This window comes from Homo sapiens, chromosome 12 (genome assembly GCF_000001405.40).
Source record: "Homo sapiens chromosome 12, GRCh38.p14 Primary Assembly".
NCBI classification, from domain to species: Eukaryota; Metazoa; Chordata; class Mammalia; order Primates; family Hominidae; genus Homo; species Homo sapiens.
In genome coordinates this window covers 30,291,465-30,304,603 of record NC_000012.12, presented here as the reverse complement: position 1 = coordinate 30,304,603, position 13,139 = coordinate 30,291,465, and the positions used below count along the sequence as shown (strand labels likewise).

The window sequence follows — 13,139 nt, the reverse complement described above, 5'->3', positions numbered from 1 at the left end:
TGATCACATCACCCTCCTGGTTAAAACTTAACCAAGGGCTGTCCATCAGATTTGCAATGGAATCCAGACCCCTCTCCCTTGTGGTTGCGCAGGGCTTGAGTCCTGCCAACCTCATCAGCACCTGCTCTTGCTTCTGTCACCTTCCCCACTGGATGCTTCAGACATGGTTGCCAACTTCAGATATGGTGTCTGTCCCTCAAGTTTGTTCCTACCTTAGATACCTGCATTAGCTTTCTCACCTGCAATGCATGCCACCAAAGACAAAGGATTTCTTTTAATTGTCTGAGTTCCACGTAAACATCATCTCTTTACACCCAATCTAAGGGTCCTCCCACAATTCTATCACATCTCCCTGTTATGCTTTCCACATATTATGTAAAAGGCAATCTAAAAGTCTTCAAGCATTTCTGTGCATGTATAGAAATGGCCAGTGATGAAAGGTTCGTTGTCCTATTTCCTTTTAGACTGGAACCCAGGGAAGGATTTGGGTTAATTTCCTTTTTTTTTTTTTAAACAAATGTGCTATGGGGCTTTTTTTCCAGCTGTTCTGGATCAAGAAAAGTTGTATTTCCAGATGCTTAGTAAATGCCCCTGTCCTGCATGCAGTGCTGCCCTGGCCTTCATGCCTCTAAACCTGGCATTATCTCCCTCTGACTCTGTCATCTTGCTTTTTGTACAATTTTGGCCTGCAGACTTCTAAGGGTAGGGGGCCAGGGAGAAGGACACTTGGTGCAGGTGACATACTCTGTATGTCCCTGTGTACCATTGTTTAGCTCCCAACTGGAGTGCTGTAAGATGATATTTCACTGTGAATTTAGTTTGCATTTCTCTGATAATTGGTAGTGTTGAGCATTTTTTCATATGTTTTTTGGCCACTTGTATGTATTCTTGTGAAGTGTGTCTCTTTATATCCTTTGTCTTCTTTTTGACGGGTTTTTTTTTCTCATTGAGTTGTTTAAATTTTTTATAGATTCTGGATATCAGTCCCTTGTCAGATGCATAGCTTGCAAATATTGTCTCTCATTCTGCAAGTTGTTTACTCTGTTGATTTCTTTTGCTGTGCAGAAACTTTTTGGTTTAATGAAATCGCATTTGTCGATTTTTGTTTTTGTTGTGTTTGCTTTTGGGGTCTTAGTCATAAATTATTTGTCTAAACCAATGTTCAGTAGAGTTTTCCCCAGCTTTTCTTCTAGAAATTTTATAATTTCAAGTTTTACATGTAAGTGTTCAATCCATCTTCAGTTAATTGTTGTATATGGTGAGAGACAGGGATCCAGTTTCGCTCTTCTGCCTATGGTTATCCAATTTTCCCAGCACTGTTAATTGAATAGGGAGTCCTTTCCCCAGTGTATATTTTTGTCATCTTTGTTGAAGATCAGTTGGTTGTATGTATGTAACTTTATTTCTGAGTTATTTATTCTGTTCCATTGATAGAAGTGAGATCATTTATGTTAGGTTGCCGGTCCCTGAACCATTTAGCTTGTAAGGACAGGCTAATTTCCTCTCTCTGCATTCAGATCCTTACTTCTTTACTGATAGTCCCTACTCTGCTCTGAGAGGCCCATCTCAACCTTCTCCTGGGGCTTCTTGCTTCTCTTGATAGTTTTCTTCCCTGCTTGCCGAATCTCCCCCATCTGCAGGACAGTGTGAGCTGGCTCTCTTCCTGCACTGCCTCAGCCCCCAAGCCTGACTGCCGGCAGAGTCTCACTCTGGCTGCACTGCCTCAGCTGTCTGCTGTTCTGGGCAGACACCTGCCCAGGTTGCCGCCAGCCTGCCCTGGCCCTTGAGAGGTTCTGGGACCCTAGTCCACAGTCTGCAGAATTGTCTAACCCTCTTTAATTCCAGGGGTTTCAGTCAGGTTTCTACTGGAAGCAGAGTCCCAGCTGTGTGTCAAGGAGGCTTCTTCTGCCACCTACCAGTGCCTGTTGGAAAGGCCAGATTCCCCCCAGGGACACCTGGGTAAATGCCAGAGCATCTTTTGGGTCAGTTCAACCTTTGATGAAGGCTGTTCATGGGGATAGGTCGGCCATGAATTACTATCAGAAAATGTTCCCTTTCTCTCCTCTTTTATTTGATGTAACTAGCAGGGTATCCCCCTTCCTCTGTGTGATTTAAAACAGAATACTAGCTTTTGTTAAAAAAAAATTCAGCCAGATTAAATTCAAAGGGGTTTAATTGAGCAATGAACAATTTGTGAATTGGGCAGCCCCTAGAATCATAGCAGATTCAGAGACTTCAGCACAGCCACGTGGTGGAAGATGATTTATGGACGGCAAAAGGAAAGTGACGTACAGAAAACAGAAGTGAGGTAAGAAACATTGGATTGGTCACAGCTTGGCATTTGCCTTATTTGAACATGATTTGAACAGTTGGCTACATTTGATTGGCCAAAATACAGTGATTGGCACAGATGTGGGCTGCAGTCGGTTTACACTTCCACTTGTTATGGTTTCCAATGTACAGAAAAACCTTTAGGCCAAACTTAAATATGTAAGGAGGCAGCTTTAGGCTAACCTTGATTTAACTTTTAGAATGGCATTGATCCGCTGCTTCTGAAATAAACATTCAGCCATCCTGACTAGCTCCTTTGGTGAAAAAAACAATTTCACATGCATGGCATGACCTAGCCACACAACCCCTTTCTGAACCACGTGGGGTGAAGTCCTGGGATTCTTGCTGATGGGCCCTGACAGGGTGGAGTTTCCTCTTTCGTTGGCCCCCAGGGGCCACTATGGCCACTCTGGGCAGCCCTTGGGAGCCAGAGACAAGAAAGCACTCGGAAGGCAAAGGGGTGACCAGAGCATTTCACTTCGTATCAAGATATGAGAGCAGAGTCTCATTTTTGTTTTCCAAAACAGACACTTTGTTTCCATACACCTGAATTATGGACCAGTTTATTCTCTTCTAAAATAGAGTAGATATTTGTTATCAGAGCTGCTAAGTCTTGGTTTGTAAAACTTGTAATTTTATTGGGGGCATTACATTTATTTTGTTGGGGGACCACTCTAGTCTGTTTTTCATTTTCTGTACTCCCTTTTCATACCTTCTCCAAATACACCATGCTGATTCATACCTCTGGGCCTGGGCTCATGCTGCTCCCAGTGTTGGAGCACTCCCTCCTCCTGCAGTGCCTCTCCCACTCAGCAGCCAAATTCCCACTCATCCTCTAAGACTCAGCACAGACATATCTTTTCAGGAAGTCCCCCTTCTCCCCTTTCCTCATTCCACCCCTCATCCAAGGCCCCTCCCCGCTGACCTGTTATATTCCGTGCATGTATCTCCCTTCTTCCTAACTGCATTTCAACCAAAAATTCAGTTGTGTCTCTCCTAGAAAGTAAGCTTTTTGGGAATAGTGAATTTCAGACATGGCTACATTCCTCCCAGCCATCACAAAGTCTGACACGACACTGATGCTTAAATTGGAGTTGTTAGGCCAGGCGCGGTGGCTCACGCCTGCAATCCCAGCACTTTGGGTGGCCGAGGTGGGTGGAACTCAAGGTCAGGAGATCGAGACCATCCTGGCCAACATGGTGAAACCCCGTCTCTACTAAAAATACAAAAAAAAAAAAGAAAAAGAAAAAGAAAAAATTAGCCAGGTGTGGTGGCATGCGCCTGTAATCCCAGCTGAGGCAGGAGAATCACTTGAACCCAGGAAGCGGAGGTTGCAGTGAGCCGAGATCGTGCCACTGCACTCCAGTCTGGGCGACAGAGTGAGACTCTGTCTCAAAAAAAAAAAAAAAAGACATATATACATATATATATGCGCGTTGGTTACCCCTGCACTGACTCTTTTACATTATCTTATTCTAGGTACTTTCCTTTCTTGAGAAGAAAACTACATGTCCTTGGGCACACCTGCGTGATCTTTTCTTACTTTTATAGTGGCTAATGTGCAGGGTTGTTAAACGCATTATTTAGTTTTGAGCTCTTTGTGCCCTATTGTCTGTATCAGTAGTGAAACTTTTTGACCTCACACCCTTATGTAATATTTTTTCTTCTTTTTGGAGACAGGGTTTTGCTCTGTTGTCCAGGCTGGAGTGCAGTGGTATGATCATCATAATCATAGTTCACGGCAACTTCAAAGTTTTGAGCTCAAGTAATCTTCCCATCTCAGTCTCCTAAGTAGCCAGGACTACAGGCCTGCACCACCACACCTGGCTAATAAATTTTTTATAGAGGTGGGGTCTCACCATGTTGCCCAAGCTGGTCTTAAACTCCTGGCCTCAAGTGATCCTCCTACCTCCTACCATCCCAGAGGGTTAGGATTACAGATGTGAGCTACCTAAACTCACAGGTGTGAGCCTGGCCTAAACTCATCATTGCAATAACTACCACGACCTTGACTTCATCCTTGTTGTATCAAAATAAAAAGAAGAAGGTTTCAAAACCACACAGAGTAGAAAATTTGGAGAATATAGAACACCAATATAGAAAGCTAGAAAATAAAAACCACCTGCAATCGCACCACCCAGATTTAGACCCTATTAGTTTTTGGTTAGCTCTTTACAATTTGCCTTTTTCTCCCTATTCAGCAACATTTTAATCATGTAGCCTCCAACTTACTGGGGCTTGGGGCTCAGTGCCTCAGTTTTCCTGTTTAGAAAATAGCATATTAATAGTTATGTGCTAACAAAATTACCCATCTGCTTTCATGTGGTTATTTCATCCCTGTGGCCAGGAAAGCTGCATTTTTATCCATCCTAGGCAGTGAGGAGAAGAGAGCTGGGTGATAGGCACAGAGCCATGCTGCAGGCTGATGGGGGCTCAGGGCTCCTCATTCTTAACCAAAGTGGGTGCCAGAGAAAAATTTCACCTCGATGAGAGGAGGCACAGACACCAGGCTGCCAGGGCCATGCCCCACAGATCAGATCCATCCAGGACCTTTCGGAGAACTGTGCTTGTGCTTCTGTGACACAAAGTAGAATAGCAAACAATCCAAGAGAGTTTACTCTTGTTTTCGAGTCAATCACAAATTTTGACAAAACTTCCTCTTTCTCACAGTGTGTCTGTCCTGTTCACCTTCAATTCAGAGAACTGTCCTGACCTTTCTTAATGAAATGTGACCCTCCTCTTGTTCAGCAAATAATAAACTCAATCTCTGCTTTAGACTGTTTTTATCCTTTGTGTTATCCCTGGCATAGGTCTCATTTCAGTCATCCCTGTGGCCAGTGAGTAGTTACTACCTTTCCAGGTGCTATCACCGAACTCCGCCTTCATGTCTGTTCATCGGGAGAGGTTCTCCCAAACCTCCTGGGGGGAAGTTGAGCTCTGCTTTCTTCGCCAAGTTGCTCAGAGGGTGTCCACTCAAAAATGATGGGCCTCATTGGGTTGGTGCTCATCCACGTGCTTTTCTAGTTGGGACTTTTTCTTGGCTTAAATTGTTTGTGGATAGTTTGCATGGGCAGAGGAATTTGTTTCTGTTAATGTGATGCTGATGGTAGGGCAATGGTTCCAACTCTTGTCTTTCAGCCAGATACCTTCATTTCCCAAACTGTTCTGGATTTGGCCTTATTTTGGAAATCAGAGCCTGGTCTGACTAACTAGAAATATCAGAACTTCTGGGTAAGGTTGCCAAACATTCACTATTTGGAGGGAACAGCTCTGGACTTGGGCCCGCCACTGTCCTTCCATGCCCCAATCTGGATGGAATCGTTTGGCACTCTACCCCTCTCCATCCTTACCTCCTCATTCTTCCCTCATGGTTGAAAAAAGCTTTTTCCTGACTATTAGGCAGGATTTCAAGTCAACACTGAAAAGCCCTGATTTCCTTGATTGTGGGGAAGCTCCTTTCTGAGCATCTCAGTCTAACATAGTTAGAGTACCTCTCCCAGGACCCTTTAGCCAATCAATGTGCTCTCCTGAAAGCCTTCTGTGACAGCAAGTGCAGCCATTCCATTTTCTCTTACATAGTTGGAATCAGTGCCTACTGAATCCTATCTGCAAATGTATAGAAGCAATATGCAAAAATTTGTGACAAAAATTGGCAAAGGGAGACCTTTTGCAGGTGAAAGACAGCTAACACCTAGTGGCTAGCAGAGGGCTGTGTGGGGGTGGGGGCACAGGTAAGAGCTGAAGCAGAGGTGTGGAGGGATTGGGTGGTGTCTTCAGCACTGATGGAAGATGTTGGGGTCTTCCTCCTTCTCTGCTTTCCAAAGTAGGAGTAGCCATTGAAGCAGTAGAGAGACTCAGGGGCTCTTTGGTTTTTTTCTACCATGGAGGTTTCTTCAGAGCTGGAGTGAGGGTGGAATTTATTAGCCTCCCTACAGGCTGTTCCAGGTGCCCCCACATCTGGTGCTGAGAATGAGTGTGAGAGGGCACCCAGGACCTCCGACCTCCTTATGCCATTACATTCACATCAAACTGTGCCACGTTATCATTTACTTCCAATTAAAATATTTTAATTTTCCTCCTGGGAGGTTAAGTTTTGTGGGTTTTACTTTTCTACAATCCCTCCCTATCATAAAACCATTTAAACTTTAAGTCTTAACATTGGAAGGTTCTCTAGTGATCATCTGCTCCAATCTCTTCATTTTATGCATTGGAGACCAAGACATGAAGAAATGGCTCATCCCAGTTCAGAGACCTAGACTCTAAATCACTCATACCACCTCTCTGAGTGACACTACTCATTGGATAACAGAACTTCAGCAATCTAGGTGCCACTTGAGATATCATGGGAGCAGAAAATACTTGTGCTCTTTTAAAGGGTAAAGAGTTATTTTGTAAATACATACCCTGTCATTTCTAGGAAATTGTGTGGGCTTAGGGACCTCACTGGCTCCTAATTAGGTGTTTTTTAAAAAGCCAGGCCATTGGGCAGGACTCAGTGGTTGCTCTTAGACTTGTAAATAACTTTTAGGCTGTCCCAAACTTTCCAGTTTTGTGATTATTCTACCCTCTGTTCATAGGTAATGATGCTATTGGAAGTTATGGGGAAGAAGAGAAAGAAGGGAATTAGCAGGATGGGGTGTACGGGAATAGAGATAAACGTTTATTGAGCACTAACTCTATTCTTGACATTGTGGTTAGTGTGTTACCCAATATTATCCCCATTTTACCCATTGAGGAAATCAAGGTTTAGAAACATTGAGTAATTTGCTCAAAGTCTCACAGCTAGCAAGTAAGAAGTCTGAGATTTCAAACTTCGGGCTTTCTGATTTCAGGGCCCAAGCTTGTCACCATTATACTCATGGGGGCAATGGTAGAGCCAGATTTCCAGGAAACTCCTCTTACATCCCACTGTCTGGGTAACTGGACTTGATGGGATTTTTGGCATCACAGTGGAAGAAAGGCCAGGAAAGAAGGACGGCAGTTTCCTTTGTTGGTCAGAACTTGCCTCATCTTGCCTACATCTTCTTGGGGCTGACAGATAGGAAGCCTTCCAGCAGGTGTGGCCTAAGGGTGTTGGGGCTTTACTTTTGTGCTGGTGCAGGCAGTTTCCAGGCTCAGATAAACACTCAGCTGTTTATTTATCCATCCAGCAAGCATTTCTTAAGACACCTCCTCAGTCAGTTCTTGAGCCAATAAGCAAGCATGGTCCCTGACCCAATAAATCTAGCTCAGATTCAGAGATGCATAACCTGATTCCAGCAAAGCTTTTTGTGGATTATCTGGGGCAGTGTTTGTAACCTTTATCTTTCCCACTTCTCAGCTGTCGCTTTACCAACAGGAGCCTCTACCTTTGCGGAGTTGGGAAAAGACAAACAGGTGGGCTGCTGGGCGCTTGGGCTGAAGCTGTGGGGAAGGATATGGAAACCAAAGCCTAACAAGAGATCTTATGAAAATCTGCTCTTTCCTCTCTCCCTGCAGTTCTGTTTCCTTAAGCTAGGCTTACAATCGAAGGGCCAGCTGTTCACTTTACAATCTATCCCAGCATCCTCAGCTCCAATAACTGCCAGTTGATGCTTGCCTGTCCCAGTGGAATTAATGGAAGCTGTCAACAGCCCGCCCCCGACCTCACTGGATATAACTGTGTCCTCGGCAGACGTGAGTTCCTCCTGCTTCTGAGACAGCCTCCTTCCTCTCTTAGGAAACCCTCTCATGGGCCATTTATTCGCGTCAGTGTCAACTTAAAAGCAAGAGGCAAGGCACAAAATCTAACTTAATTTACTTAAGCCAGAGTGAGGACAGCTGCCTGGAAGACCCTTGAGAGGGGGTGATTCAGAGGATGTCAGACCTGGGCATCTGGGGCTCATTGCAATTGCACCAATTGTACTCACTTTTGTTATATTTCCAAAAGACTCAATGAGCTTCTTAGGGGGCTCAGCACTGATCTCAGGTGGAAGGAATGGGGATGGATGGGAGGGGCTGGGATGGGGGGAATAGGGAGCAGGGAGTGGGTCCCTGTTTCCTTTCCCTAGGCTCTCTGTCACTTTTTTTCTCAGTAAGTGGGAGATTCATGTGCTCTATACCTCCACAGTCTGCTGTGAACCTGTTGCTGGCATGAATCTGTCCGCTGGAGTTTGTTCGGTTGGGGGCCATGAGACAGTTGTAAAGGGAGCAACCATTGTGAAATGGCATCTTTCAGAATGCAGGAGTGAGGTGCCGTCACAAACCACGGCTTCTGTGGACAGGGTGTCTAGGGGTGGCTTGGGAAGAAGGCCCAGGGATAGAAGGAGAGAACTGAGGCCCTCTTTCAGCTCAACTTCAGCCTGGAGAATTTAGATCATTGCTTTAGCTCTAAATCACCACTTCCACACTTGGATGATTTCAAGGGACCTTAAGTTCCCACTTGCCACAGGCTTTGGGACATGGAGCCTGCTTTCTAAAATAAATATTTTTGAGTTTTTTAAGATGTAAGTTCAAACCTGCTACTGAAAAGGATTGGTTAAAAGAGACAACTCCCACTCCACTGCCGTGGCTTTCCATCAGGGCCATGCTTGGCAGAACCTGGGAGTTGAAAGGGAAGAGATGATGATCCATGTCTTGAGTTCCTGCAGACTGGAAGCAAGTGGAGCTGGGCTTGGGGAGCAGAAGGAACTGTTCTGCTTCATGGAGAAGCAAGTGGTAGTGACGGAAGTACCTGTTTCAGTGACTGCACTTTGAAATTGGATGGAGACCCAAATCCTTAATTCAGGGCTTCCTTCTGGGCTGGTGCAATCTGTAATTTTGGCAGGAATGAGAAGGGCAGGCTGGAGTGAAAAAAAGTCAAAAGTGGGAGTGTAGTGGCTCACCCTGCTTCCAGCCCTCCCTGACCTGTCGTTTGCAGACCCCTACACATTTAGAGCCTGTGTATCAGTCAGGATCTCTCAGGACCACAGAGACCCTCTCACAGCGTTACCTTCAGCAGTTGGGATTTATCGTAAGGATATTTCTGAAACTAGGAGACCAACAAACCTCAGGGTTCCATAAACACTGAGGGCAGATTGGCCTCCAGAGCCTGGAGTAGCACTCCGGGTGTCCAGTGGTTCTGGGGATCTGGTCATTTCGCCAGCTCCAAATATTCACAGTGACACACCACTGGTTTGTAGACAGACCCAGCTTCTTCAGGTAGATGTTGTGGTCCTTGTGCCTTTTATGGTTGACCTTGTTCATACCTTCCTTATTTTTCAGAAGGAGGAGCATTGTTCATGTTCACCCTCCTATTGTGCCAGTGGTGCAGTAAGTTTTGAAGGTCTCGTAGCCAATTCCAGATTTTTTTTTTCTTTTCGACAACCTTAAAAAGTGGTGCTTTTTCTTTCCAGGGCTTTGATCCAGAGGCTTTGACAAGGCTACTGCTCATCCAACTCAGCCAGAAAGTAGGGTAAACTGAGCGCTAATATCTGAGACAACTTTTTCAGGGTGGTATCGAATGAAGACTGGATAGGTTCCAGAGAATCATTCTTCACATACTAAAGAGCTGAAAACAGAAGGAGCTCAACAACTCAGACTCCAGATCTTTCAGACAATGGCTCACAAGATTTCCCTTGCTTCTTGGGTTCCTCTCTAGCTCGCCATCCACTGGTGATCTTGTTGATGTATCTGTTTGGTTACTTCCTGACTCCCCACCGCCCCATATCCGTGGCCAGAAGAAAGCTCAGGAGCAAAGCTCAGGAGTACTGTCTGCCTTGTTTGTCACCAGTGTGACTAGCACAGTGTGTGACACAGCAGGCGAACAAAATGAACCAGTTGTGGAATAAATCTCTCACCTGCTTTCAACTCACCCCTAAGATCCCTGTCTATGAGCACTTTACCCTACTCTAGCAGGTGGTTTGGTGCCCTGTCCAGACCTGAGGTTTCAGATTCCTTCCCTTTGTTTATTTTTTTGTTTTTGTTTTTGTTTTTTTTTACATTGGTGTTTCTTTCTTTCTGGGTTTTTGTTTTCTTTCTTCTGTATACTTTAAGTTCTAGGGTACATGTGCACAACGTGCAGGTTTTTTACATAGGTATACGTGTGCCATGTTGGTGTGCTGCACCCATTAACTCATCATTTACATTAGGTATTTCTCCTAAGGCTATTCGTCCCTCCTTCTCCTACCCACATGACAGGCCCTGGAGTGTGATGTTCCCCACCCCGTGTCCAAGTGTTCTCATTGCTCAACTCCCACCTATGAGTAAGAACATGCCATGTTTGGTTTTCTGTCCTTGCGATAGTTTGCTCAGAATGATGGTTTCCAGCTTCATCCATGTACCTACAAACGACATGAACTCATCCTTTTTTATGGCTGCATAGTATTCTGTGGTGTATATGTGCCACATTTTCTTAATCCAGTCTATCACTGATGGACATTTGGGTTGGTTCCAAGTCTTTGCTATTGTGAATAGGGCTGCAATAAACATACATATGCATGTGTCTTTATAGTAGCATGATTTATAATCTTTTGGGTATATACTCAGTAATGAGATTGCTGGGTCAAATGGTATTTCTAGTTCTAGATCCCTGAGGAATCGGCACACTGACTTCCACAATGGTTGAACTAGTTTACAGTCCCACCAACAGTGTAAAAGTGTGCCTATTTCTCCACATTGTCTCCAGCACCTGTTGTTTCCTGACTTTTTAATAATCACCATTCTAACTGGTGTGAGATGGTATCTCATTGTGGTTTTGATTTGCATTTCTCTGATGACCAGTGATGATGAGCATTTTTTCATGTGTCTGTTGGCTGCATAAATGTCTTCTTTTGAGAAGTGTCTGTTCATATTCTTTTCCCACTTTCTGATGGGGTTGTTTTATTTTTTCTTGTAAATTGTTTAAGTTCTTTGTAGATTCTGGATATTAGCCCTTTGTCAGATGGGTAGATTGCAAAAATTTTCTCCCATTCTGTAGGTTGCCTGTTCACTCTGATGGTAGTTTCTTTTGCTGTGCAGAAGCTCTTTAGTTTAATTAGATCCCATTTGTCAATGTTGGCTTTTGTTGCCATTGCTTTTGGTGTTTTAGACATGAAGTCCTTGCCCGTGCCTATGTCCTGAATGGTATAGCTTAGGTTTTCTTGTAGGGTTTTTATGGTTTTAGGTCTAACATTTAAGCCTTTAATCCATCTTGAATTAGTTTTTGTATGAGGTGTAAGGAAGGGATCCAGTTTTAGCTTTCTACATATGGCTAGCCAGTTTTCCCAGCACCATTTATTAAACAGGGAATCCTTTCCCCATTTCTTGTTTTTGTCAGGTTTGTCAAAGATCAGATGGTTGTAGATGTGTCGTATTATTTCTGAGGGCTCTGTTCTGTTCCATTGGTCTATATCTCTGTTTTGGTACCAGTACCATGCTGTTTTGGTTACTGTAGCCTTGTAGTATAGTTTGAAGTCAGGTAGCGTGATGCCTCCAGCTTTGTTCTTTTTGCTTAGGATTGTCTTGGCAACGCGGGCTCTTTTTTGGTTCCATATGAACTTTAAAGTAGTTTCTTCCAATTCTGTGAAGAAAGTAATTGGTCGCTTGATGGGGATGGCATTGAATTTATGAATTACCTTGGGCAGTATGGCCATTTTCATGATATTGATTCTTCCTATCCATAAGCATGGAATGTTCTTCCATTTGCTTGTGTCCTCTTTTATTTCATTGAGCAGTGGTTTGTAGTTCTCCTTGAAGAGGTCCTTCACATCCCTTGTAAGTTGGATTTCTAGGTATTTTATTCTCTTTGAAGCAATTGTGAATGGGAGTTCACTCATGATTTGGCTCTCTCTTTGCCTGTTATTGGTGTGTAGGAATGTTTGTGATTTTTGCACATTGATTTTGTATCCTGAGACTTTGCTGAAGTTGCTTATCAGCTTAAGGAGATTTCGGGCTGAGACGATGGGGTTTTCTAAATATACAATCATGTCATCTGCAAACAGGGACAATTTGACTTCCTCTTTTCCTAATTGAATACCCTTTATTTCCTTCTCCTGCATGATTGCCCTGGCCAGAACTTCCAACACTATGTTGAATAGGAGTGGTGAGAGAGGGCATCCCTGTCTTGTGCCAGTTTTCAAAGGGAATGCTTCCAGTTTTTGCCCATTCAGTATGATATTGGCTGTGGGTTTGTCATAGATAGCTCTTATTATTTTGAGATATGTCCCATCAATACCTAATTTATTGAGAGTTTTTAGCATGAAGCGTTGTTGAATTTTGTCAAAGGCCTTTTCTGCATCTATTGAGATAATCATGTGGTTTTTGTCTTTGGTTCTGTTTATATGCTGGATTATGTTTATTGATTTGCATATGTTGACCCAGCCTTGCATCTCAGGGATGAAGCCCACTTGATCATGGTGGATAAGCTTCTTGATGTGCTGCTGGATTCGGTTTGCCAGTATTTCATTGAGGATTTTTGCATCGATATTCATCAGGGATATTGGTCTAAAATTCTCTTTTTTGGTTATGTCTCTGCCAGACTTTGGTATCAGGATGATGCTAGCCTCATAAAATGAGTTAGGGAGGATTCCCTCTTTTTCTATTGATTGGAATAGTTTCAGAAGGAATGGTACCAGCTCCTCCCTGTACCTCTGGTAGAATTCGGTGCGAATCTGTCTGGTCCTGGACTTTTTTTGGTTAGTAGGCGATTAGTTATTGCCTCAATTTCAGAGCCTATTATTGGTCTATTCAGGAATTCAACTACTTCCTGGTTTAGTCTTGGGAGTGTGTATGTGTCTAGGAATTTATCCATTTCTTCTAGATTTTCTTTCTTTTATTTATTTATTTTTTATTATTTGCGTAGAGGTGTTTATAGTATTCTCTGATGGTAGTTT

General features: G+C 43.7%; 1 long non-coding RNA gene across 1 annotated transcript in view; it reads left to right on the top strand.

Annotated features, from left to right (window-relative positions):
* Window positions 1-7,896: 7,896 nt before the first annotated feature.
* LINC02386 (long intergenic non-protein coding RNA 2386) overlaps window positions 7,897-13,139 on the top strand; it is a 65,929-nt gene continuing 60,686 nt past the window's right edge. Inside the window, exon 1 of the long non-coding RNA NR_183469.1 lies at window positions 7,897-7,986. This is a non-coding gene — a long non-coding RNA (long intergenic non-protein coding RNA 2386). The remainder of the gene's footprint in view (window positions 7,987-13,139) is intronic.